Source organism: Homo sapiens, chromosome Y (assembly GCF_000001405.40).
Source record: "Homo sapiens chromosome Y, GRCh38.p14 Primary Assembly".
Taxonomy (NCBI): Eukaryota; Metazoa; Chordata; class Mammalia; order Primates; family Hominidae; genus Homo; species Homo sapiens.
The window spans coordinates 22488679-22516044 of NC_000024.10; the positions used below are offsets into that span (position 1 = coordinate 22488679).

The following is a 27366-nucleotide window of genomic DNA, read 5'->3' on the forward strand; positions in this document are numbered from 1 at the left end:
GGGTTGCATGTTTCCTCTAGGATGAGAAGGAGGCAGCCATGTCTGGCTTTAGCCTGATAATCTAGCCCCTGTTTCATCTCATCTGCATGGACTTCTCATTGTGGAGGGGCCCTTTCACTGGGCTGTTGCTGGCTAGGACTGCCACTTGCCACAGATTATTTTGCTGCCAGGGATTTCAGAGAGTAAAAGGGACTTTGATAAACTGGCTGCACTCCATATTGTGGATCATTGTCTCATCGTAGAGGCTGCAGTTGTTTGCACTTTGCAGGAGGCTTTTGGTTTCTGACAGGAATCTTGAACATTGCCTGGACTCCAGCAAAGGCAGCTCATTCTTAGGTGAACCTTGGTTTTTCTTTGTTTTCTTGGGGAATCCATAGTGCCCCCCAACAGCAGCACTGCACACCATTTTCAAGCTTGCCATCACCACAGATGGCCTCTGAGACACTGTCTCAACTACATCTGCACAAGTGAGAGGCCATTCCGAGATGTGAGAACACTGCTCCACATTAGACTTGCCTTTGTTATGGTTCTTGCCTTTCATAGATAGCCCCTGCAAGGCTCAGAATGAAGGGAGGCATTCAGTTCAAAAGCCCAATCATCTTTTGCTGACATCCACTTCTGGTGTCTCAGGTATGTTTCTGTCGCCCAAAGAACACTCAACGACACACCAGATTATATTCCAACCCCCTTGGGACCCAATTATTGCACACACCCTCTTTCGCTAATGGAGTTAGAAGAGCAGTTTCCAGCGACCACATCGCAGTCGCGAAACACCTCTTCCTCCAGCGGGACCTGAACAAGGAAATGGCCAGCAGGGTCCCTGAGGTCGAGATTTTCAGGGTCCTGCAGTGGGTTTTTATAGTCAGCCTTTTTCCCGATACCAGGCGGGCTCTGCCTGTTCCATTATCCCCTGCTGAGGCAGACTGACAGCTCTGACAACCTGACTTGAGTCTGCCTCACAAATGCGCATGCGCTAGTCTCAGGGTACCTGATCCGATTGTGAGCTCTGTCTAGCATCGCTATAAATGTCACCGTTGCCTAGCAAGAAGTATCTGCATCTTGGAAAAGGGGACCTCCGTGGAGGAGCGTCAGCTGTGTCTTCTCGTCTGTCTTCTCTGTGAAATCCACGGATAGTCTCATGATCCTAGGAGAGGGTAGACGTTAGCCAGCGTGAAGAAACAAGCATAGCTACAGGAATAAACCACAAAATCCTTAAGCATCCAGAAACATCTGCAAGATTTGGTAGGCCTGCCTAGACATTGTACGGGTGAATCTTTTTGAAACTTGCCCTACTGTGGTTTCTAGGTACAGCCTGCCTATGTTCCTTGGGGTTGCTCTCTCCTAGGTGGGAATTCCTGCAGAGCCATGCATCCTCATGCACTGCTGAGCTATGTTTTTCTGTGGGAGTGTTGCAACTGTTGGATGTGTGTGTGTGTGTGTGTTTTTCATTGTGTGTTTAAGAATGTGTTTGTTGCTGTAAGTGGAGTCTGCTTAAATAATGTGTCTAATGCACTTCAGTGCCTCTTTTTTTTTTTTTTTTTGAATGTTTCAATCTTTGTTGGCCTCTCTGTTGCTTTGTTTGTGCTGTGGGGCTCCGTGTTCTTTATTTTTCTGTGGATCATGAATCTGCAGTGAATCGGGAGGTGGGCCAAGACATGCAGGTGTCAAAATCAACTCCTCCTGAAAGAAATAAAACAAAAAAGAGCCACTCTTCTAGAAAGAAGAGGAGCACACCACACCAGAAACAGACATCTTGCAGTGTTTCACTGTCTCAACCTTATCTGCACAGTCCGAGGTCAGTCTGAGGTAAGAGAATAACCACAACTGCATAGTGAAAGACCAGTCTGAGGTATGAGAACACTCCTCCACCTCGGACTTGCCATTGTCGTGGTTTCTACCTTTCCCAGAGAGCTTCTGAGAGACCCAGGATGAAGGGATGCAGTGAGGTCAAGAGCCCAACCTTCTTTCACTGACACCCACCTCTAAGGACTCAGGTATGATTGTATCACCCAAAGAACCCTCAACAACACAACAGATCATATTCCAATTCTTATGGGACCAGATTATTGCACACAGCCTGTTTCAAAAATGGAGACAGAAGGGCAGTTTCCAGTGAACAGGTTACTATCTAAAAATACCTCCTCCCTGAAGGGGCCCTGAGGTTGAGACATTTAGGGTCACACAGAGGGTTTTCAAACACAGCCTTTTTTATCAACAACAGGCCTACTCTGCCTGTATTATTTTTCTCTGCTTAGGATGTCAGCTTGCTTAAACACAGGGAAAAACATCTGCAGGACTTCTCAGGCCAGCCTAGACATTGTAGGCATGAGTCTTTTGAAACTTGTCCAACTGTGATTTCTAGGTATAGCCAACTGGGGTTTCTTGTGGTTGCTGTCTCCCAGGTTGGGATTCTTGCAGAATCACATAGCCTCAGGAGTGCTGAGCTCTGTTTTCCTGTGGGAGTGTTGTGAGTGTTGGATGTCTGCGTGTGTGTGTGGCATTGGGTGTGCACATGTGCGCCTGACAGTAGAGTGTGCTGGAAATTACATGGCTAACCCGCTTCAGCCCTTTTCCCTTCTTTTTTTTTTTAGTCTCCCAACATTTCTGGCGGAGCATTTCAAGTGTTGGATGTCTGCATGTTTGTGTGGTATTGTGTGTGTGTGTGTGTGTGTGACTGTAAGTGAAGTCTGCTTAAAAGCATATTACTTATGCACTCCAGTGCTTTCTGTTTTTGAGTCTTCCAACATTTTGGTGGCCTGTGTTTCTCTGCTTGGGCTGTGGGACTCTCTCCAGGTAGTGCTTCGTGCAGCCTCGGTAGCTGCTGGGCTGTGTATTTCTGTGGGAGTATAGTGAGTGTAGGATGTCTGAATGTGTGTGTGGCATTGTGTGTTCAAAAAAAGCCACTCTTCTAAAAAGAAGAGGAGCACACCATGCCCAAAAGAGACATCTCCTAGTGTTTCATTGTCGTGAGGCCAACCCAGGCATAGACACTAGCAGTCCTGTCCACTGGGCACTTTGAATTAACCTTGAATTTGGTTCCCAGCTGAGCAGGTGATTCACATCTTGTGGTGGGGGGGCACTCTCCATCATCTTTTGATTTCATCCTGGGACATAGAGTATGAGCAGGAATAAAGTCAGATAGCTTTAAGGACAAAATCTCGTGAGGGGTGTATAAGGTTTTGCAACATCACTTGCAAAAAAAAAATGAAGATAGATGACACAGAATCTGCTTCCAAGTAAATAGCCTGGTTTTCAGGTGGACATGAAGAGAATATTTTGAGAACAAACTGGGGCCATCTGGAGAACTCTCAATGTGAGGGCTTTCATAACCGGAGCCAAATGAGAGTGTGATGGATTGATGCTGGGTGAGTGTAGCCATCACACTTGCGTCTTCTTTTCCTGACTTCCATGTTCCTCTTTGGCCTAGGGTTTTCTGGGTCTGGTTCCATATCTTCCACACTAGAAGTTTCCCAGTTCATGGAGGACCACTCTTATGTGAATCCATTGCATCATTGTTTCTTTCTTAATTCTGTCACGTTTTAATGACTAGGCAATATGAGACTTTTAAAGGCATAAATTCCCATTACAACCATCCATATGGAAACTTTTATTATCCCTCTTTTATTGAAGGGTTGCATGATTCCTGTAGGATGAGAGGCAGGCAGCCATGTTCTGCATTTTCCTGCTAATCTTGGCTCTGTTTCACTTCATCTGCATGTCCTTCCTTGCTGTGGAGTGGGTCTATCATTGGCTCTTGCTAGATGGGACTGCCTCTTGCTATAGATCTTTTCAGTGCCAGGAATTTCAGGAAGCCAAAAGGACTTTGCATACGGTGGCTATGCACCAGGTTGTGGATCATGGTGTCCTTGTAGGGGCTGATGTTGTTTGCACTTTGCAGGAGGCTTTTGGGTCCTCTGACAGGAATCTTTGAACTTTGCTTGTACTCCTGCACAAGTCAGCTTGTTCGTTCAGGCGAGCTTTCATTTTTCTTTGCTTTCATGGGGAGTCCACATTGCCCCTCATCAGCACTACTGGACACCCTTTTCTGTCTTGCAATTGCCATGGACCACCTCAGAGATACTCTCTCAACCACATCTGCATCCGAGAAAGGCCAGTTTGAGGTGTGAAAACAATGCTTTATCTGGGACTTGCTTTTGTTGTGGTTCCTGTATTTCCCAGAGAGGAACAAATACTTGCTTTTGTTGTGCTTCCCTGTATTTCCCCTGTGAGGCCCAGGATGAAGGGAGTCAGTGATGTCAACGGCCCAGCCATCTTTCACTGACACCACTCTCTTGGGTCTCAGTGATGATTCCATCACCCAGAGATGCTTCAAAAACTCACCAAATGGTATTTCAATCCCCATGGGAATTAACTCTTGCACACATCCTCTATTGGGAATAGAGGCAGAGGTGCAGATTGCAGTGACCCCTTCACAGTCTCAAAATGACTTCTTCTGTGGAACCCAACCTTAGAGACTGCCCAAAAGGGCCCTATCATCTATATTTTTGTGTCCAGTGGTGGCTTATTACAGGCAGCATTTTTCCCTATACCAGGAAGGCTCTGCCTGTACCATTTTCCTCTGCTTAGGCAGACTGACAGCTCTGAAGGGTGCCTTAGCCTGCCTCAGGAATGCCTAATGAGGCAACTTGAAGATGGATTGTTTGATATTGTTCAGTGTAAGGAAGAGAAACAAGAATAATGATCAAAACTAAGGTTTCCATGGGACACCATCAAGAATATCAACATATTCATAATGGGAGTCCCACTGGAATAGGTGAGATGGGGAAAAAAAGAATATTTAAATGAATAGTGGCTGAAACTTCCCAAAAGTGTCGATAGATGCAAATCTACTGATCCAAGTATCTCTAAAGAACACAATACTCCAGGGAGAATAAAATCCAAGATATCCACACTGAAACACATGCACTGAAATTGACAGAAGACAAATAAATAGAGAACTTTAAAAGAATCAAGACAGAAGTAACTCATCACATGCAAGTTATCCTTCATAACATTAACAGCCAATTTCTCATTAAAAATTATAGTGGAAAGAAGTCACTGTGATGAGATCTTTAAAGTGCTGGAATAAGAAGATAAAGTCAATCATAAACTCAATATCTGGCCAAACAAAAATTTAACTTTATGAGCAAATAAGGCATTTCCAAGCAAACATAATTAAAGAGAGTACATTACTACTAGATCAGCCTTACAAAACATGATGAAAACAAGCAAGGAATGAAAGAAAAATAGTGCCCCATGTGCAAATAAAGAAATAAGAACATCAATAAAATAATTACGTCACGAAATAGAAAAGCCAATATTATTATATTTGGGTTTTCTGTGACTTTATTTTTCTACTGGATTTAAAAGTATCTCACAACTGTAATCCCAACAAAGTAGGGGGATTTCCTTGAGTCTGGGAGTTTGAGACCAGCCAGGGCAACAAAATGTGACCGTCTTTTGAGAAAATAAACAAAATTAGCCAGCTGTGGTGGCATGGACTTCTGTCCCCAGAACATAGGGCACTGAGTTGGAAGGGTCCCTTGAGCCCAGGAGCTCGAGGCTGTAGTGAACCATGTTTAGCCTGTGTGACTGAAACCCTGTCTCAATGAATTAAAATACAATACAATAATAAAATAAAGAAATGACAAAAAATAAAGCAATAATTACACATCTGGGTTGTTAGCAAATGTTGCATAACAAACTATTTTTGACAAAAAAATAGAAAGTTGGGGAAAACAGTATGGGAAAATGATTTTTGTATAATGTCAATGCTCAGTTGTTATAATTCACACTATATTATTATTAATTCAAGATATTAATTATAATACCATTAATAACTTGTCCTTTTTATGGCTGCATAGTATTCCACGGTTTATATGTGCCATATTTTCTTAATCCAGTCTATCATTGATGGACAATTTGGTTGGTTTCAAGTCTTTGCTATGGTGAATAGTGCGATAATAAACATACGTGTGCATGTATCTTTATAGCAGCATGATTTATAACCCTTTGGGTATATACTCAGTAATGGGATTGCTGGGTCAAATGGTAATTCTAATTTTAAATCCTTGCGGAATTACCACACTGTCTTCCACAATGGTTGAACTAATTTACACTCTCCCAAACAGTGTAAAAGCATTCCTATTTCTCCACATCCACACCAGCGTCTGTCGTTTCCTGACTTTTTAATGATTGCCGTTCCAAGTGGCTTGAGATGATATCTCATTTTGGTTTTGATTTGCATTTCCCTGTTGACCAGTGATGATGAGCATTTCTTCATGTGTCTGTTGGCTGCATAAATGTCTTCTTTTGAGAAGTGTCTGTTCATATCCTTTGCCCTCCTTTTGATGAGGTGTTTTTTTTTTTTAATGAAAATTTGTTTGTGTTCTTTGTAGATTCTGATATTAGCCATTTGTAAGATGGGTAGATTGCAAAAATTTTCTCCCATTCTGTACGTTGCCTGTTCACTCTGATGGTAGTTTCTTTTGCCATTCAGAAGTTCTTTAGTTTAATTAGATCTTATTTGTCTATTTTGGCCTCTGTTGCCATTAATTTTGGTGTTTTAGTCATGAAGTACTTGCCCATGCCTATGTCCTGAATGGTATTGTCTATGTTTTCTTCTAGGGTTTTTACGGTTTTATATTTAATATTTAAGTCTTTAATTCATATTGAATTAGCTTTTATGTAAGGTGTAAGGAAGAGATCCAGTTTCAGCCTTCTAAAAATGGCCAGCCCCTTTTCCCAGCACCATTTACGACATAGGGAGTCAATTCCCCATTTCTTCTTTTTGTCAGATTCATCAGAGATAAGATGATTGCAGATGTGTGGTATTATTTCAGAGGCCTCTTTTCTGTTCCATTGGTCAATACATCTCTTTTGGTACAAGTACCATACTGTTTTGTTTACTGTAGGCTTGTAGTATAGTTTGAAGTCAGGTAGCATGATGTCTCCAGCTTTTTTTTTCTTCTTCTTCTTAGGATTATCTTAGCAATATGGCCTATTTTTGGGCTCCATATGAACTGTACCTTTTTTTTTCCAAATCTCTGAAGAAAGTCACTGGTGGCTTGATGGGAATGGCATTGCTTGTATAAATTACTTTGGACACTATGGCCATTTTCAAGGTATTCATTCTTCATACTCATTATCGTAGAATATCCTTCCATTTGTTTCTGTCCTTTTTGATTTCGTTGAGCAGTGTTTTGTAGTTTTTCCTGAAGAGGTCCTTCACATTCCTTGTAAGCTGGATTCCTAGGTATTTTATACTCTTTGAAGCACTTGTGAATGGGAGTTCACTTGTGATTTGGCTCTCTGTTTGTCTGTTAATGGTGTACAGGAGTGTTTGTGATTTTTGCACACTGATTTTGTATGCTGAGACTTTGCTGAAGTTGCTTATCAGCTTAAGTAGATTTTGGGCTGAGACAATGGGTTTTCTCAATATACAATCATGTTATCCGAAAACAGGGACAATTTGACTTCCTCTTTTCCTTATTGAATACCCTTTATTTCTTTCTCTTGCCTGATTGCCCTGGACAGAACTTCCAACACTATGTTGAATAGGAATGGTGAGAGAGGGCATCCTTGTCTTGTGCCGGTTTTCCAAAGGAATGCCTCCAGTATTTGTCCACTCTGTCGGATATTGTCTGTGGGTTTGTCAGTAGCTTTTATTATTTTGAGATATGTTCCATCAATACCTAGTTTATTGAGAGTTTTTAGCATGAAGGGTTGTTGAATTTTGTCAAAGGCCTTTCCTGCATCTATTGAGATAATCATGTGATTTTTGTCATTGGTTCAGTTTATATGATGGATTAGGTATATTGATTTACATAAATTGAACCACATTTGCATCCCAGGGATGAAGCTGATGTGATAGTAGTAGATAAGCTTTTTGTTGTGCTGATGGATTCAGTTTGCCAGTATTTTATTGAGGATGTTCGCATGGATGTTTATCTGGGCTATTGGTCTAAACTTCTCTTTTTGCTTGTGTGTCTCTGCCAGGCCTTGGTATCAGGATGAAGTTGTCCTCATAAAATGAGTTGGGGAGGATTCTCTCTTTTTTTTATTGATTGGAATAGTTTCAGAAGGAATGGTACCAGTCCCTCTTTGTACCTCTGGTAGAATTTGGGTGTGAATCCACCTGGTCCTGGGCTTTTTTTTGGTTGGTAAGCTATTAATTATTTACTCAATTTCAGAGGCTGTTGCTAGTCTATTCAGAGATTCAACTTCTTCCTGGTTTAGTTTTTGAAGGGTGTATGTGTCCAGGAATTTATCCATTTCTTCTAGATTTTCTAGTTTATTTTGTTAGAGGTGTTTATAGTATTCTCTGAGGGTAGTTTGTACTTCTGTGGGATCGATGGTGATATCCCCTTTATCATTTTTTATAGCTTCTATTTTATTCTTCTCTCTTTGCTTCTTTATTAGCCTTGCTAGGGGTCTTTCAATTTTGTTGATCTTTTCAAAAAAAAAAAAAAAAAAAAAAAAAAAACCCAGTTCCTGGATTCATTGATTTTTTGAAGGGTTTTTTGTGTCTCTATCTCTTTCCGTTCTGCTCTGCTCTGATCTTAGTTATTTCTTGCCTTCTGCTACCTTTCGAATTTGTTTGCTCTTGCCTCTCTATTTCTTTTAGTTCTGATGTTAGGTTGTCAATTTTATATCTTTCCTGCTATCTTTTGTGACATTTACTGCTATACATTTCCCTCTGCCCACTGCTTTAAATGTGTTTCAGAGATTGTGGCATGTTGTGTCTTTGTTCTCATTGGTTTCAAGGAATGTCTGTATATCTGCCTTCATTTTGTTATTTACCCAGCAATCATTCAGGAGCAAGTTGTTAAGTTCCCCTGTAGTTGTGCAGTTTTGAGTGAGTTTCTTAATGCTGAGTTCTAATTTGATTACACTGTGGTCTGAGAGACACTTTGTTGTGATTTCTGTTCTTTTACAATTGCTGAGGAGTGCTTTACTTCAGGTTATGTGGTCAATTTTAGAATAAGTGTGATGTGGTGCTGAGAAGAATGTATATGCTCTTGATTTAGGGTGGAGAGTTCTGTAGGTGTCTATTAGGCCAGTTTGTTACAGAGCTGAGTTTAAGTGCTGGATATCCTTGTTAACCTTCTGTCTCATTGATCTGTTGATTAATGAGACAACATTGACTGTGGGGTGTTGAAGTCTCCCATTATTATTGTGTGGGTGTCTAAGTCTCTTTGTAGGTCTCTAAGGACTTACTTTCTGAATCTGGGTTGTGTATTGGGTGAATATATATTTAGAATTCTTAGCTCTTCTTCATGAATTGATCCCTTTATCATTAGGTAATGGCCTTCTTTGTCTCTTTTGATCTTTGTTCGTTAAAAGTCTGTTTTATCAGAGGCTAGGATTGCAACTCCTACTTATATTTTTTTCTGCTTTCCATTTGCTTGGTATATCTTCTTCCATTCATTTATTGTGAGCTTATGTGCATCTTTGCATGTGAGATGGGTCTCCTGAATACAGCACACTGATGGATCTTGACTCTTTATCCAATTTACCCATCTGTGTCTTTGAACTGGGGCATGTAGCCTCTTTACACTTAAGGTTAATATTGTTATGTGTAAATTTGGTCCTGTCATTATGACGTTGGCTGTGTAGTTTGCCTGTTAATTGATACAGTCTCTTGATAGCATCGATGGTCTTTAAAATTTGCTTTTGCAGTTGCTGATACTGGTTGTTTTTTTCCATGTTTAGTGTTTCCTTCAGGAACTCTTGTAAGGCAGGCCTGGTCGTGACAGAATCTCTCAGAATTTCCTTATTTTTAAAGGATTTTATTTCTGCTTCACTTATAAAGCTTAGTTTGGCTGGATATGAAATTCTGTGCTGAAAATTCTTTTCTTTAAGAATGTTGAATATTCGCCCCCACTCTCTTCTGGCTTGTAGGGTTTCTGCTAAGAGATCCAATGTTAGTCTGATGGGCTTCCCTTTGTGGGTAACTCAACCTTTCTCTCTGTCTGACCTTAACACTTTTTCCATCATGTCAACCTTGGTGAACCTGACAATTGTATGTCTTGTGGTTGCTTTTCTCAAGGAGTATCTTTGTGGCATTCTCTGTATTTCCTGAATTTGAATGTTGGCCTGCCTTGTTAGGTTGGGGAAGTTCTCCTGGATAATATCCTGAAGAGTGTTTTCTAAGTTGGTTCCATTCTTTCCATCACTTTCAGATACACCAATTAAACTTAGATTTGGTCTTTTCACTTAGTCCCATATTTCTCAGAGATTTTGTTTCTTTTTACTCTTTTTTCTCTAACCTTGTCTTCTCAGTTTATTTTATTAATGAGATCTTCAATCACTGATACCCTTTCTTCCACTTGATTGAATCAGCTACTGAAGCTTGTGCATGCATGACAAAGTTCTTGTGCCACAGTTTTCAGCTCCGTCAGGTCATTTAAAATCCTCTCTACACTATTTATTCTAGTTAGCCATTCATCTCATCTTTTTCCAAGGTTTTTAGCTTCCTTGTGATAGATTGGAACATGAAACTTTAGCTCAAATAGTTTTGTTATTACCAACCTCCTGAAGCCTACTTCTGTCAGCTCATCAGATTCATTCTCTGTCCAGTTTTGTTGCATTGCTTGTGAGGAATTGTGATCCATTGCAGAAGAAGCACTCAATTTTTAAAACTTTCAGCTTTTCTGCTGTAGTTTCTCTCCATCTTTGTGGTTTTATCTACCTTGTGTCTTTGATGTTGTTGACCTACAGATGGAGTTTTGGTGTAGATGAACTTTTTGCTTATGTTGATGCTCTTCCTTTCTATTTGTTAGTTTTCCTTCTAACACTTAGGTCCCTCAGCTGCAGGACTTTTGGGATTTGGTGTAGTCCACTGCAGATTGTGTTTGCCTGGGTGTCACCAGCAGAGGATGCAGAACAGCAAATATTTCAGAACAGCAAATATTGCTGCCTGATCCTTCCTCTGGAAACTTCATCCCAGAGGGGCAGCTGCCTATATGAGGTGTCTGTCAGCCCCTACTGGGAGCTGTCTCCCAGATAGGTTACACAGGGGTCAGGGACAGATGAGAGGAGGCAGCCTGTCCATTCTCAGACTTCAAATGGCATGCTAGGAGAACCACTGCTCTCTTCAGAGCTGTCAGACAGGGACATTTAAGTCTGCCAAAGTTGTCTGCTGCCTTTAGTTCAACTGTGCCCTGCCCACAGAGGTGTAGTCTACAGGCAGTAGGCCTTGTTGAGCTGTGGTGGGCTCCACCCAGTTTTAGCTTCCTGGGTGCTTTGTTTACCTGCTCAAGACTTAGCAATTGTGAACGCCTTTCTACCAGCCAGGCTGCCACATCAGAGCTTGATCTCAGACTGCTGCGCTAGCAGTGAGCAAGGCTCTGTGGGCATGGGACCCACCAAGCCAGGCATGGGACCCACCAAGCTAGGCATGGGAGAGAATTACTTTGTCTGCTGGATGCTAAGACCTTGGGTAAAGTGCAGTATTTGGGCAGGAGTGCTCCGTTTTTCCAGGTAGTCTGTCACAGCTTCCCTTGGCTAGGAAAGGGAAATTCCCCGACTGCTTGCACTTCACAGGAGGGGTGATGCCCTGCCCTGCTTCAGCTCATTCACTGTGGGCTGCACCCACTGCCCTGCCATTCCCAATGAGATGAACCAGATACCTCAGTGGGAAATGCAGAAATCACTGATCTTCTGCATTGATCATGCTGGGAGCTGCAGACTGGAGCTGTTCCTATTTGGCCATCTTGGAACACCCTCAGAAAAAAATAGGATGCATTTTTAAAGGTTTTTTTTTTTTTTTTTTTTTGAGATGGGGTCTCATTCTGTTGTCCAGGCTGCAGTGCAGTGGTGTGGAGAGTGCTTCCTCCACACACTTCCCTGTCCCTTTCAATCAACTGGCTGTGAGATCACTGAAACCAGAGATCTCAGGTTCAGAACAGGCCCAAGTGGGGTTGTGGCTGCCCCTCTGCATTTCAAGGTCACTGTGTGGCATAATGAGGTCTTTGGCTGCAGAAAAGGGCATTGCGTTTTCTGAGGAGGGCTTGGTGAGTTGATTTGAGAGACAACACAAGCACCAAGATTTGGAATGTCCCAGGTTAGTGTTGGGGAAACCAGCCACATAAGACCCAGTGTGTACCCCGAATCTGGAGGAGACAAAGGTGTTAGAAAGAGACAGAATAAGCACTTAAAAGGTAGGTCCAGGGCACCAGAGCATTGGAGACTTGCTCATGGCCTGGAGCTCTCAGGCTCCACCCAATTTATTGGTTTACAAATTCTTTGTCCTTAAGGAGATGGGAGGGGGAGGAAGGAATAAGGAAAAGGATTAAGCAGTGAAGGAGAACTCATCAGCCATTCAATAAGATGTATAGCACTGGTGGTTTCTGTGAATTTCCTTGAGCAAAGGCATGTGTCTAAACTACTTAAGATCTTCAACTTATCATGACTGAAATGGGTGGGAGTGGGTTTCAGGAGGAGCCAAGATGTTTTATTATATTCCACTGCTTCAAGGGAACGTTATCTTCCTGAGCAACCAGTGGAATGCCGCTGAGTGGTTATGCTCTGGGGGCATAAATACATGAAGGTAATAAGGAGATTTTTCTTCTCAGAGGCTGCCCATGGCTCCCCATGGGTGTCTCATACAGGGGAGACCAACTTAATTGGCACCCCAGAAACTTTGTTTCCCACAGTTAGTAATTATGGGTTGTTGGTTTAGACCAAAGATAGGGCCAGAGATGAACAAAGAATATTGGGGTGCCCCTGTGGTAACAGCATTTTCCAGCCAGCAGGCTTGCTTTACCTGCTGGGAAGAAGGATGTACCTCAGAGTCCCACAAAACCTCTTCTCCCATCTTATCTCTTTTAGAGAGACATGAATAAAATGGGCCTCAACAATCCCAAGAGACCACTCAAGGACAATGGGAGCCACTGGGCTTGGCTTTCTACTTTCCTGGAGACAAGACAATTTGAATGGCACTGACTGCCAGGTACTGTCATCATATGGGCCATGAGAACATCTCACCTGTTCAGTACCCCTCTACATTTTAGTGGGGACTAGGACATGGAATATGTGTAGGGATGATAGTGCCCTGTCACTGGGATCAGGACAGACCACAGGGAAGGGGAAGCTGCCAGCAAGGAGCCTGGGTCAGGGGCCAGGTTTGGGAAGCAGTTTCCTCTGACCCAACACTTGTTCCTGCAGCTGGACACATTACCTAAATTTATGTCTATTTTGGAGAATGGTGAAAACAGACTTAGAAAAAGACACTTGTAGGCCGGCCACCTAAAGACAAACTCAGCTGTCATTGTGGTGTGTTTATTTTTAGTATTTTGTTTCTTTTGCTTTTCTCATGTTTCTGCTACATATCAGTACTTTTTTGAGCAGCCTCCCTGCACTCTGTGATCTTTACTTGATGAGGAGGATCATTTAAGAATAAGAAAACTGGAGGCTGGCCTGCTGTGGATCTGTTCTACATTTAGGGCTGTCCTAAATCTTGTCTGGCCTTCACACCATGTGCACATTTGCTCCTCCTTTCCACATACCATTAGGATATTAGCATCTTTCTTGACACCTCTTGGGCCTGCTTCCATTTAGATCCTGCCCTGCCCAGGTATGTGTCCCTAAGCAGGTTCATGTGACCTTTCACCTGTAAAATAGAGATGGTGCCAGGATCTGCCATGGGGATTTTTGCAAAGCTTAAGTCAGGCTGGTTGTCAAAAGCCTAAGAGTACAATTGAGACACAGTGAGCATTCATGAAATACCAATGCTTTATTATCAAGTGCTGCCTAATAGTTCTTGAGGATCAACCATCATTTAATCCCATAACTATTAAGCTCTTGATAATTGTTTTCCTATTTTCAATACTGGAGAACAACACTTCATTGAAGGTCATTGTAAATAAAGTGCTAATATATTATCAGTTTCCAGTAATAAGCTTTATTAAGCGCCTCAAGGGGGCCAGGTAATTCAGAGCCTGACCCAAGTCTTTGCAGCCACAGGGAAAACGGTAAAGGCATGTAATTTGTTATATCCTGGGGTCCACAGCCACCAGTAGCCAAATTGAAACAGGAACCCACATTCCTGAGCTTGGCTTCAGTTTCTTTCCAGGTCCTACTGCTCTGGCCTGAGAGAGCCTCTGCCCACCAAAATACGGTGTTCTCTGTTTCCCACAGGCCACTGCAGGGTGGCAACATGTACCAGTAGGGGCCCAACCATGATGTCGCCACCCTCCCCCTCATCTTTCCTGCTCATTACCTCTGCCCTCTGGCTGCTTGCAGTAACATGATGGACCCCTCTATGGCTGCACCTGCATCATGGCTGGTTCCTCTAGCATTGGCATCCTCCAAGAAAATTTCCTTCCAGACTGTGCAGTTGGTCTACTGCTAGCGGCTGGACTTCATGATGCACTGCAGACACCTCTGTGGCTGTGTCTATTGATACCCTTGCTGATGGCTACACGTGGATCTGCTTTGGACAGATCTTGAGTTTTTGAGCTGGATGTGGTGATTACTTGAGTCTTGTTTGAGGGAGTGGAAGTGTGGGTAGAGCTAGGATTTTCTGCTGGAATCTGTGGTGTTTAATTAGATGTGGAACCCGTACCCTGGAACAGAGAATCTTCCTAGAGTCTCTGACACCACAAATTACTTCCCATATATTTTATTTTGAAAATAAAAATATATGCACATGACTGAAAAATACAGAGATGAGGCAAGGGTAACTCAGAAGGAACTGCCACCATGTGCACCTAACCCTAGTCCCCTGAATTACCTGTTAACACCTGGTACAACAGAGGAAGGCTGAGTTTCTTAGACTTCTGACCTTTCCTCCACCCTCACCCAATGATAGAAATATCATGATTTTAGTTTCTTTCTTAGTTATCATTGATGTTGAAAGTAACTGTAGAGTATATGTATATTTATGTATATATTTTTTCAATCCAATGCAATAGAATCTTGTGACTTTCTTCTTGTAGGAAGTATATTGGCACTTTGAATTCACCTACATTTCTTGGTATTCTATAGGTATATACATATTTTTTCTTTAGCTTTCTCTTTTCTTGGAGTTTCTAATTGCCTTTTCTTCTTTCTTTCTATTTAAAATTAAATTAAATTAAAATTAAATTAAATTTAAAATTAAATTAAATTAAGTTGGAACTAAATTAAAATTCAAATTAAATCTCCTTTTATCACATCCTTATCATCTTCCCTCATTTCTAACCTCCCACCTGAAAAATCACTGGTGGACACCTTCCGTTTTCCTGTTCCTATCCCACCAACATCTCTCTAGGCCTGGGGTGGAGCTGTCATTCCCAGAGCTTTTATAACTGCCTCCCTGGGTTTTTACATGTCAAATGCTATTTCGCTACTGCAACTATGGGACAAATCTCCCAGAGAGCTAACCACTTTTCTTAGGTTTATTTTGTTAATTGTATGTGGTTTTGAAATATTTTTTAGATTCTGTCTTCCAATTTTTGAGAGTTACACATTTTAAGAGAATTTCAAGCTGTTGTTCCTAATCTCTGAATTTTCCTATTATCTTCCTAAATTTTGTTATTTTTCAGGGATGCAATATTTTATACTTCTCTGAGACTACGGGGAGCATGTGTTCTGAACTTTCCTTGAACAGAGGTCTTGAGGCCAGAAGGAAGAAGGATCTTAAAGACTCATTTCTCTGGAGGTGAGTTGTCTGTTGATCATATTTGCCTTTGTTTGTTTTTTTTGTTTGTTTGCATTTTTTAAAAACTGTTGGTCTCTCACGTTTGCCTCTGTAATTAGCATTAAGGCTGAAATGGGGATTGTCACACGCTCATTTCACATTGGGACAAGAGGAACTGGCCTTCAAACCAGGGGCCTACAAATGGGAAGGATGATTTCCTCTGGGAATCCCTAAGCTTCCTTCTTTCCTCTGCAGAAACCTTCACCTTCAGTTGCCCTGCTGCTTCCTTGGCATGGCGATGTTCTTCCTCCACTTGCAACCTGATCACACAACTGTGGACATTGTTCTCATGGCTTTTCCCTTCTCTTTGTCGTGAAGAGAGAAGATGCAACCCGTTTCTCTACTATGATGGAACCAGAATGTCCATATTAGAACTTTAACATTATTTCCTCTACATCAGAGGCCACATTGGCTTCTGCCTGAAAGAGGAAATTGCAGAAAACAGACACAAGGATGGGAAGGTCACATTGACATATAAAGTTCCTGAGGGGCAGCTGGGTATTGTGTTAGGTGGTCACTCTTCTGTTCAGGAGGAAGGACTGTGTGAGCCTTTCCCAAAGGCCTGTTCAGTGTCTGAGCTCAGGGCCAACTTAATTTCAGTGTGCAGCCTTATAGATTAGGAAAAGAAAACAATCTGCCTCATCAGGTCTCCTGCCCAACCTTATTCCTTGCTCTGGATCATGATTGCTTATTTAGAAACAGCTTTGTTGGCATGTGATTGGCATATGGTAAACTGCACCTGTGTAGATGGAAGAACTGATGGTTTCTCCATGTGAGTATTTCATTCACCGCAAGGCCAGAAGTGTGATGAAGGTCATGAAAACACATCTTCCTCCCATCAATAACGATCACTCCCTGGCCACCCTAGGACCACAGATCTGCTTCTTTCACTAAAAACTTGTGGGTATTTTATAGAATTACAGGTAAATACAGTATGTACTTGGGTCTTTGTGCATCGTTCTGATCTGGCTTCTTTTATTCAGCAGAACTACTTTCAGAGTCACTCTGTTCTGAGTGCATCAACAGTCCATTCCTTTTCATGCTGAGCCACATGCCATTGTATAGATGTGCCACAGCTTGTTCACCCTTCTTCTGTGTATGGGCATTTGGGCTCCTGGTTTGGGACCATTATGTGTAAGGATGTCATGAATATTTATTTATGTATGTAGCCTGTGAGCTTGCCTTCATTTCTCATGGTTCATTCCTAGGAGTGCAGTGGCCACATCATGTCATGGTAGGTCTGCATCGACCTTGTTAAGGAATCACTGTCCCTTGTGCTAAGTGTTTGGTCCATTGCCTGCTTTCTCTCTTTCTCCCTCTGATTTAGTCATACAAACCTCTTGTATCCTTCACCCTCCAGGGCAATAACTTCTTAGCATACCGCCTTTCTTTACACTTGGAATCACCAGCTCCTTCTTTATGTGCTGGCTCTGATTCCCTCACTAAATTTGCCCTTTGTGCCCCATGTGTGACCCATTCCCATTGATACACCCTATGTATGAGAGGGCTTTGGGATAAGAGACTGTTTCTGATGAGTATCGAGTACTACAATGGCTCTGAATGGAAGAAAGATGACTGGGTGGGTCTTGTCAACCATTGTCCCTGGAGCTCATCTTTGTTGTTACAAATAAGTCTGGGTGTGGCCTGGGCATATGTTCAAGTACTCGCAAACCTTTTCTAAATGACAACTGGAGACCAGGCCATGGGCTGGAATGTGAGTATGAAGTTACTTGGAAGCTGTGTGATTGAAAGTGAGTCACTCAGTCACTGGATCCTGGCATTTTTCTCTACATGTGGGACTACCCATACTTTGCAGAGTTGCTGTGAGTTCACCTGAGTAAGACACCTGCATGCACTTGTGATCAGAAAATGTTAATTTCCCTTTATTGAAATGGAACAACCCATGGATATTATGTGCTGAGGTCTGGATCAAAATAGAGCATGATACTGAAGACCTTGTAAACCCTGAGGAGGCATCACTGATCACTGGGTGTCCGGAAAGGCAGCAGAGAAAAACTGACCTGGAAGTGAAATTGGCCCGTGGGTTTGTTACAGTTGGTTAAACAGTCATGAGTGGGGCAAGAGCGGGTTCTCCACATCCGCATACCAGGAATGTCAGGCCATCGGGTGATGGTTGGACAGTTATCATATTGCTTCTCTAAAAATAATAATTTAGCGGCTGGGGCCAGGGATAGCCTGATACACAGCTGGTAACATTAAAGTGTTAATTAAACTCACATGCCAGAGAGGAGGAAAAAGGGCGTCCCATAAAATCTCAGACATTGGATGACTGAACCCAGGAGTGCACATTAAGAGACAAAATGGTGGAGTATGACTTTCTGGGGTCACCCCACCAATAAAAGGGAGGAAGCCTCAGATGGGCATACATATAACTGCTTAAACACACTGTCTATACTTACTTCCCAAGGGTAACGAGGGCACTGTGCCTGTGGGCAGCCCATGCTAGGGGAAGAATCATGGGAAAGGGTGCACCAGATGCTGGCGGTAGGCCAGCCTAAAATGTCCCAGAAGGAAGGTTAATGGCCACACTTCTTCAAGTCACCCATTTGGATCTCTTTCGAGTGCAATTTTCATTCTTTCCTGCTCTAAAGCTTTTTAATAAACGTCCACTCCTGCTGTGAAACTTGCCATGGCATTTTCTTCCTTCTTCCTTCTTTATGCCCACCAGTTGAATTCTTTCACCTGAGGAGGCAAGAATTGATATTGCTAAAGACCCGGACGGATTTGCTGCCAGTAACTCAGATACTTTTCACCGGTAACAGGTCTAGGAGCTGGTGGACACAATGGCTGGAGTATGTGTCCAGAATGTGCCTGCTCAGGCCCCAGGCACTTCCGGACTGTGGGGGGACTTGAACCCCAGGTTAAGGGGACACCATGGAATGAGAGCTCAGCCTGCTGTTGGAATACTGGGGATAGGATATTTTTTACTGAAGTAAATCCCCTACCTATTAAGGAACTACTACCCAATCTGTCCTCTTTCTGACCCCTGACAATTAGCAAATCTGCTTTCTTTCTCTATGAAATTACTTATTCTGGACATTTATATACATAAAATCATACACTATGTGACTTTTGTGCTTAGCTTCTTTAAACACAATGGTTTTGCAGTATCTTCACATTGTAGTATGAGTGTCTCAATCTTTTTATGGCTAGATATTATGCCATTGTATAGGTATACTACATTTTGTTTTCCTATTATTTGTTTGTGGACATTTGGTTTGTTTCCACATTTTAGTTATTGTGAATAATTCTTCCATGAGTATATGTGCACACACAGTTTTGTTTGAATACCTGCTTTATATTTTTTGTGTATATACCTGAGGTGGGGGGGATTTGCTGGTTTCTATGATGGTTCCATGTTTAGCTTTTTGCAGAAACACCAAACTATTTTCCACAGCAGATGAACTATTTTACTTTTGTTTTTCTCCACTTCCACGTCAACCCTTGTTCGTTCATGGTTTTTAAATAATAATAATTACAATGGGTGAAAAGTGGTGTCTTCTTGTGGTTTTGATCTGCATTTCCCTGAAATAAGTGATGTTGAGCTAATTTTTATGTGTTTTTGTGTGTGTGTGTATCTTTGGAGAAAAGTATTTTCAATTTCTCTATCATTTTTTTAATTGGGTTGATTGTCTTTTTGTTCTTGAGTTGTAAGAATTTCTCCTATATCCTGGATACTAGGCCCTTACCCTTATATATGACTTGAAAATATTTTGTCCTATGCTGTTGGTTTTCTATTGACCATCCTGATAGTGCCCTTTGAAGCATGAAAGATTTTAGTTTTAATGAAGTTCAATTTATCTATTTTTTCTTTTGTTTTCTGTGCATTCTCTGTCATACCCAGGAAACCATTAACAAGTTCAGTGCCAATAAGCGCAGAAAGATATGTTCGACATCATTAGCCATTAGGTAAATGGATATCTAAATCACAATGAGATTATCACCTTAAACCCACTAGAATGTCTTTTTTTTTTTTTTTGAAAAAGGGAGAGTTGGGGAGTATGTGGAGAAAATGGAACCCTTGTGCATTGCTGGTGAGAATGTGAAATGGTGGTGATGGTTGCACAGTAACATGAACATACATAATGCCACTTACCTGTACACCTACAAATGTTTAGATTGGTAAATTTATGTTACGTTTCTTTTACCACATACCAAAAAGGCTTCCTGAGAACTAGTCCTGAGATAGTTCCATGTGGAAAGAAGAGGACCCTTCTCTCTCCTAGAGTGAGTAGAAGCCTTTGTTTTTTGTTGCTGTTGTTGTTTTGTGTTTGTTTTTGTTTTGAAACAGAGTCTTCCTTTGTGGCCTAGGTTGGTGTGCAGTGGTGTGGTCTCTGCTCACTGCAAGCTCCAACTCCCATATTCATGCCATTCTCCTTCATCAGCCTCCTGAGTAGCTGGGACTAAAGGTGCCCACCACCATGCCTGGCTAATTTTTGTATTTTTAGTAGAGGTAGGGTGTCACCGTGTTAGCCATGATGGTCTCAACCTCGTGACCTAGTGATCCACCCAACTCAGCCTCCCAAAGTGGTGGGACTGCAGATGTGGTGAGCCACCACATCTGGCTGAGTAGAAACCTTCTTATCATGCTTGTACTACACACTCCTGGCTCTTCCACACACCAAGCATGACCTCACGAACCAGAGGCAGTCTAAGTCTAACTGGCCCATTTGTACCCCCTTTCCAACATCCTATTCCCCTATTCAACTCACTCTCTTTCCCCTACAAACCACTGTACATCACAGGTCTGCTTACCTTCTCTGTAGACATTTCTATAATGTCATAGAAATATGATCATAAAATACATGATCTCTTCAGACTGGCACTTTTTGTTATTATTGTTTTCTCATTATTCTATAATTGCTGCCAAAAGAAGCAGGCATGTGTTGTGCCACAGAAAACTGATCATATTCTAAGCTCTACTTAGTAAAAACTAAAAAAAAAGAAAGAAAAAAATATGCTAGTACATATTGTCGCATTTATCCTGTTATTTTTTTAATTCATGATTTCTACAATGAATAAATGGATGAATAAAGCACACAGATATTATGCTTTGCCAGTCCAGCTGAACATCAAGCTGCTTACAGACTACAGGCAAATTATTGCAAACAGTTTTGACTGTGGCCCCAGCCAGCTAGTGAGACTTGCATTTATTCAGTAAGGATTAATTGACCAAGGCTCTAGTTAACACCACTAAAGGGTAATTGACAGTGTGGACTTCCCAGTTAGAAAGCAATTTAGCACTGTGCTAAGTCAAATATTAGTCTTAGGACCACATGACTAAGCAAGCTACTTAGGTAAACACCCCGCATTCCTTTGTTTCTACTCTAACTTATTTAACTAAAGGTAAAAGGCCATCCTGTCTAATATGGTGAAACCCCATTTCTACTAAAAATACAAAAAATTAGCTGGGCATGGTGGCGGGTGCCTGTAGTCAAAGGTACTTGGACTCAGGAGGCTGAGGCAGGAGAATGGCAGGAACCTGGGAGTTGGAGCTTGCAGTGAGCTGACATCGCAGCACTGCACTCCATACTGGCCAATAAAGCGAGACTCTGTCTCAGAAAACAAAACAACACAAAACAAAACCAGTATTCATCACTAAAAAAAGTAGCAAAATATAAAGACCAACAACACTAAGAAGAAAGTGGATCAATTAATATGCAAAATAACCAGCTAGTATTGCCATGCCAGGATCAAATTGACCCGTACAAATATTAACCTTAAATGTAAGTGAACTAAATTTGCCAATTAAAGTGCACAGACTGACAAATTGGATAGAATCAAGACCCTTTGGTGTGCTGTATTCAGGAGACTGATATCATGGGTGAAGACACACATAGGCTCAAAATAAAAGGATGGAGGAATATTTACAAAGCAAATGGAAAGTAAAAAAAAAAAAAAAAGCTGGGATTGAAATCCTGCTCTATCCTAAAATGACCATACTGCTTAAAGTAATTCACACATCTACAGTGATCTGATCTTTGACAAGCCTGACAAAAACAAGCAACTAGGGAAGGATTCCCTGGTCTGGGAAAACTGGCGAGCCATATGCAGAAACCTGAAACTGAATCCCTTTCTTACATCACATACAAAACTTAACTCAAGATGAATTAAAAGACTTAAATGTAAAACCTAAAACCCTAAAAACCCTAGAAGAAAATCTAGGCAATACCATTCAGGATATAGGCATGGGCAAAAACTTCATGACAAAAAGACCAAAAAACAATTGCAACAAAATCCGAAATTGACAAATGGGACCTAATTAATCTAAGGAGCTTCTCCACAGCAAAAGAAAATATCGTCAGAGTGAACAGGCAACATACAGAATGTGAAAACATTTTTTCAACCTATCTATCTGACAAAGGTCTAATATCCAAAAGCTACAAGGAACTTAAAAAATTTTATAAGAAAATAAAAAACAAACCCCAACAAAAAGTGGTAAAGGATATCAACAGACACTTCTCAAAAGAAGACATTTAATCAGCCAACAAATATATATAAAAAAAGCTCAGCATCACTGAGCATTAGAGAAATGCACATCAAAACCACAATGAGATACTGTCTCACATCGGTCAGAATGGTGACCATTAAAAAGTCAGGAAACCACAGATGCTGGCGAAGATGTGGAGAAAAAGGAATGCTCTATGCTGCTGGTGGGAGTATAAATTAGTTCAATCACTGTGGAAGACAGTGTGGTGATTCCTCAAGGATCTATAACCAGAAATACCATTTGACCCAGCAATCCCATTATGTGGTATACACCCAGAGTATTGTAAATCATTCTACTCTAAGGAAACTGCACATGTATGCTTATTGCAGCACTATTTACACACAAAAAAGACATGGCACAAACCCAGATGCCCATCAATTATAGACTGGATAAAGAAAATGTGGCACATATACACGATGGAATACTATGCAGCCACAAAAATGAATAAGTTCATGTCCTTTTCAGAGACATGAATGAAGTGGAAACCGTCATTCTCAGCAAGCTAACACAGGAACAGAAAAGCAAACACTACCTATTCTCATGCATAAGTGGGAATGGAACAATGAGGACACAATGGGGCCTGTCAGGGAGTAGGGGGTAAGTGGAAGGAGATCATTAGGACAAATACCTAATGCATTCAGGGCTTAAAACTTACATGATGGGTTGATGGGTGCAGCAAACCACCGTGGCACATGTACACCTATGTAACAAAACTGCCTGTTCTGCACATGTATCCTATAATTTAAATTACAATAAAAAAAGGCAGGTTAAATGAAAAACTAAATAGTATCCATGAATTTATGATGACTCCCTATTCGGTTTTTACTTAATGCTTTTTCTGTGTTTCGTGTCTGGAGGAAAGCAAAATAACAACATATTGAACCAAACATTTTAAAACAACTTAATACAAAGGGGTTGGAGCAAATTCTTTTATCTCTTTATGAAGACAAGTGTGAGTTAAAAACCACCTCTCCTAATGCTTCTCAGTGCCTCAAGGTGCTTAGGAAAAAAATAAAACTTCCAACTTAAGGATACTTGGCAGCTTCCAGAACTTTAAGGAAAGCCGAGAAATAAAGTATCCAGCTTCCGGCTCTTTCTAGGAGAGTATGCCTAGTGCCTTCAGGACCCTTGGACCTTGGAGGAAGAGCGGAGGTGGGGTAGGTGGGGGCGGTCTCTGGAGCCACTTGCCGCTCTGGCAGCCACTGCTGCTCCCCATGGGACGGCTTAGAGTCAGCCTTCAGCAGAAGCAGCAGGCTTTCCGCAAGCAGTGTTTGGTGTGTCTGCCTGTTTTCCATCTCTGTATCTTCCTTAGTGATGTATCTACTCAGGTTTTTACCTTGGAATTGGGTTGCTTATCTTTTTGAGTTTTAGAGTTTCTGCATATGTTGTGCATACAAGTCACTTTTCAGATAAGTTTGCTAAATTTTTCTATCTATGGCTGTGGCTGGTTCTTTGGTTCTTTTTTTTTTTTTTCTGAAACGGGGTCTCACTCTGTCACCTAGGCTGGAGTGCAGTGGCGCGATCCTGGCTCATTGCAAGCTCCGCCTCCCGGGTTCACGCCATTCTCCTGCCTCAGCCTCCCGAGTAGCTGGAGGTGGAGTCTCATTTTGTCACCCAGGCTGGGGTGCAATGACCCTATATGGCCTTACCGCAATCCCCACCGCCCAAGTTCAAGGGATTCAAACTCCTGGCTCAGACTCCTGAGCAGCTAGGATTACAGGTGCACGCCAGAACTCACAGTTAAATTTTTGAATTTTTCCTAGAGACGGGGTTTCACCGTGTTTACCATGCTGATCTGGAATCCCTGTCCTCAGGTGATCTGGCCGCTTCGACCTCCAAAAGTGCTGAGATTACAAGCTTGAACTGCCATGCCCAATGGTAACAGAGTGTTTTACAGAGTAGACATTTCAACTTTCAATAAAGTTCATATTATCCGTTTTTTTTTCTTTCATGGACTTGATAATAACTCATCACTAAACCCAAGCTCATGAAGATATTTTCCAATTACAACTTTGCACTGAAAAAATTTAATGTGTGGGTATTTTTGACTAATTTTTTTAACTGTAAAATTTGTGTCTATGTTCATTTGTTTCCGTATAGTTTCCAGCTGTTTTCTTGCCACTTGTGAAAGAGACTTATTGTTTCCAAAGGACACTCTTTGCATTTTCGACAAAATCATTTGACTTGGGCCTGTTTTGGGGCTGACTATTCTGTTCCACTTATCTGCTTGTCTATTAAATCATGAATGACACACTCTTGTTTATTACATTAGCTTTAGTGTAAGTATTCATATCACATCTGGCATTGCACTTCTTCAGTCTTATTTCATCTATTCTAGGTTTAGGAAGAGTTGTTGATATATTTACCTGGAATTTGATTGGAATATAGCTGAAATAATAATAAATGTGCTTCTCCAGAACAAGAAACATCTATTTATTTACTTTGTGAGGAGTTGTGTCACCCAGGTTGGTGTGCGGTGGCATGATCTCAGCTCACAGATTCTCCCACTTCAACGACCCAAGTAGCTGGGACCACAGGCATGCACCACCAAGCTCAGCTTATTTTTTTTGTATTTTGGGCAGAGATGGGCTTTCACCATGTTCCCCAGGGTGGTCTCCAATTCATGGGCTCAAGGTATCTGCCTGCTGCAGACTCCCGAGGTGCTGGGATTACAGGCGTGTGACAACGTGCCTAGCCTGTCTGCATTTGCTAACATTTCCTTTGATTTCTCCCAATGGTGACTCATTGTTTTCTGAATGAATTCTGCATATTTTGTTACAGTTATACTTAATGGATTCAATTTTGCGGGTAGTATTGTAAATGGTGTTTTAATATTTCAAAATCCAATTATTTATATTCATTATTGCTGATATAGAGAAAATCAATTGAGTTTTGTATATTGACCGTCTTCTTTGCTTCCTTTTATCTCCATTCTAGATATGGGAAGGTTGGCTGTATCTCACTTCCACTTCGTGAGATGACCGCCTGGATTAACCCACCCCAAATTTCAGAGATTTTCCAAGGCTACCACCAGAGGGTGCACGGAGCTGATGCACTGAGCCTGCAAACCAACTCTCTGAGAAGCAGGTTATCTTCACAGTGCCTCGGACAGAGCTTCCTTCTCAGGACACTCGAGAGAGGCCGTGGTTTCAGGGCACTTGGGGACATCTGTGGCCACGTTCATGAAGAAGACTAAGCCTACTTCATCTCAGGACCCGCCCAAGAGTGGCCGCGGCTTTGGGACACCTGGGGTCGGGTCCACCATGAGGATAAAACCTCCTTCTCTTCTGGACATGTCCAGGAGTGGCCGTTGCTACAAGTCACCTGGTGCTACGACCAGGGTGAGAATAAAGACGTCTCCTCAGGACCCTCCCAGGAGAGTACATGGCATTGAGACATCTGGCGGCCAAGTGAGGAAAAGACACCCTGTCTGCAGCACCCAGAACTGAGGAGGGGCACTGCCCTGGGCCTTACTTCCCAGCCCTGGCCTCCAATTCTGACCTTACAAAAGTGTCCCTTGAGTGAGGCAGTGACCACGCATTGTCACAGCTACCAAAGTGTGGTTTGCAGATGATCTGGGCTTGTTTCTGGCAGAGATTCTGGTACAGAGAAAGGAGAGGCGCTGAGTGGAACCACGATGGGCTGAGGCCAGGGGAGACATCACAACCTCCAACAACACTTTTTTTCATGCTTTAATAACTCATTTTTCTTAGAGAACTAAAGTAGTTGAAACAATATAGAAACATTTTTTAAGTAGGCATATTAGAACTTGAATTATTATGTAAGTTTAAATATATGATATATGCCTGGTTAGCAACATTTTTTCTTTTCCTGAGACAGTCACAGTTTAACTGAGAGTGCATTTGTAATGGTAATGTAAATGTCTGCTTTATACATATTGACATCCTACATTAGCTGAGATATACTAACAATATCAAACTTTGATATTATGCCATAAAATTAGTTGAAGAATTCTGATCCAGATATGAGTGACAAATGGTCCATGACACATCCCTACTCAGGAGATCCTGAGAACATGTGCCCCAGGTGGTATGTTCACAGCCTACATTTATGCATTTTAGAGAGACCTGAGACATCAATCAAACACATGTAAGATGTACATTGGTTTGGTCCAGGAAGGATGGACAACTTGAAAATAGTGATGGTGTGGGGCTGGGCTTTCAAGTTACAGGTAGATATAAATATGTTTTAATTGGCAGTTGGCTGAAAGAGTTAAATTATTATCTAAAAACATAAAATCAATAGACAGGAATGACTGGGTTACAATAAATAATAAGGGCTGTAGAGACCAAAGTTTTATTATGATGATGAAGCCTCCATGTAGCAGGCTCGAGAAAATAGGTGGTAAATATTCCTTATCAGATTTAAGGTATGTGTTGCTGTTAGTGGTGGTCAGCTTTTTCTAAAGTTCAAAAGGGAATAGTATGTAATGAAGCATGTGTGTCCCTCTTTCTTGTCAGGAAGTGAAGCAATTTTGGAATGCTCTTGATCAAAAGGAGGGGTCCATTCAGATGGCTGTGGTTGGCGGGGGGACAGGAGAGTTAATTTTTTTTAACAAGTGTTTCATTTCTGTTTACAAAAGTATAACCTATTAAAGTGTTATAAATTATAATTATCTAAGAGAAAAAAGGGATTTCTTAAATCTAAAAACATAGAAAATAACCTAACCCATCAAACCTTATGGATTTTTTTTTCTTTCTGTTTTTAAAGTTGCCAAGGATGCTTTGCTTGTAAGTCATATATTTGACCTGTTGACCATCTGGGTATAGTTCTGTTGCTTCTTCAAAAATTGTACCCAGCAACCTTCCAAAAGTGTTTTTAAGTAAATTTCTTAAATTGTAGCAATAAACAAAATGAAAAGACAATATTAAACATTACTGAGGTTTATCAAAGGACATACAAAATTTCAACTCTTATTCCTTTCCTTCTTCTTCTCCTTTTATTTTTATTTTGAGACAGGGTCTCATTCTTTTTCCCAGCCTGGAGTGCAGAAGTGCTATGATGGCTCACTGCAGCCTCTAACTGCTGAGCTCAACTGATCTTCTGCCTTAGCTTCAGTTATCATATCTGGCTAACTTTTTGTATTTTTTGAGAGAGACAAAGACTTGCCATGTTGCCTGGACCTGTCTTAAATGCCTGGACTCACATT

General features: G+C 41.5%; 1 long non-coding RNA gene across 1 annotated transcript; it reads left to right on the forward strand.

The window, feature by feature from the left end:
• The first annotated feature begins 1718 nt into the window (after positions 1-1718).
• On the forward strand, positions 1719-25959 carry PRY (PTPN13 like Y-linked). The gene is made up of 5 exons (NR_197358.1): positions 1719-1806; positions 1908-1994; positions 12835-12955; positions 15531-15646; positions 25134-25959. It is a non-coding gene; the product is annotated as a PTPN13 like Y-linked (long non-coding RNA).
• The last annotated feature ends 1407 nt before the right edge of the window (positions 25960-27366 follow it).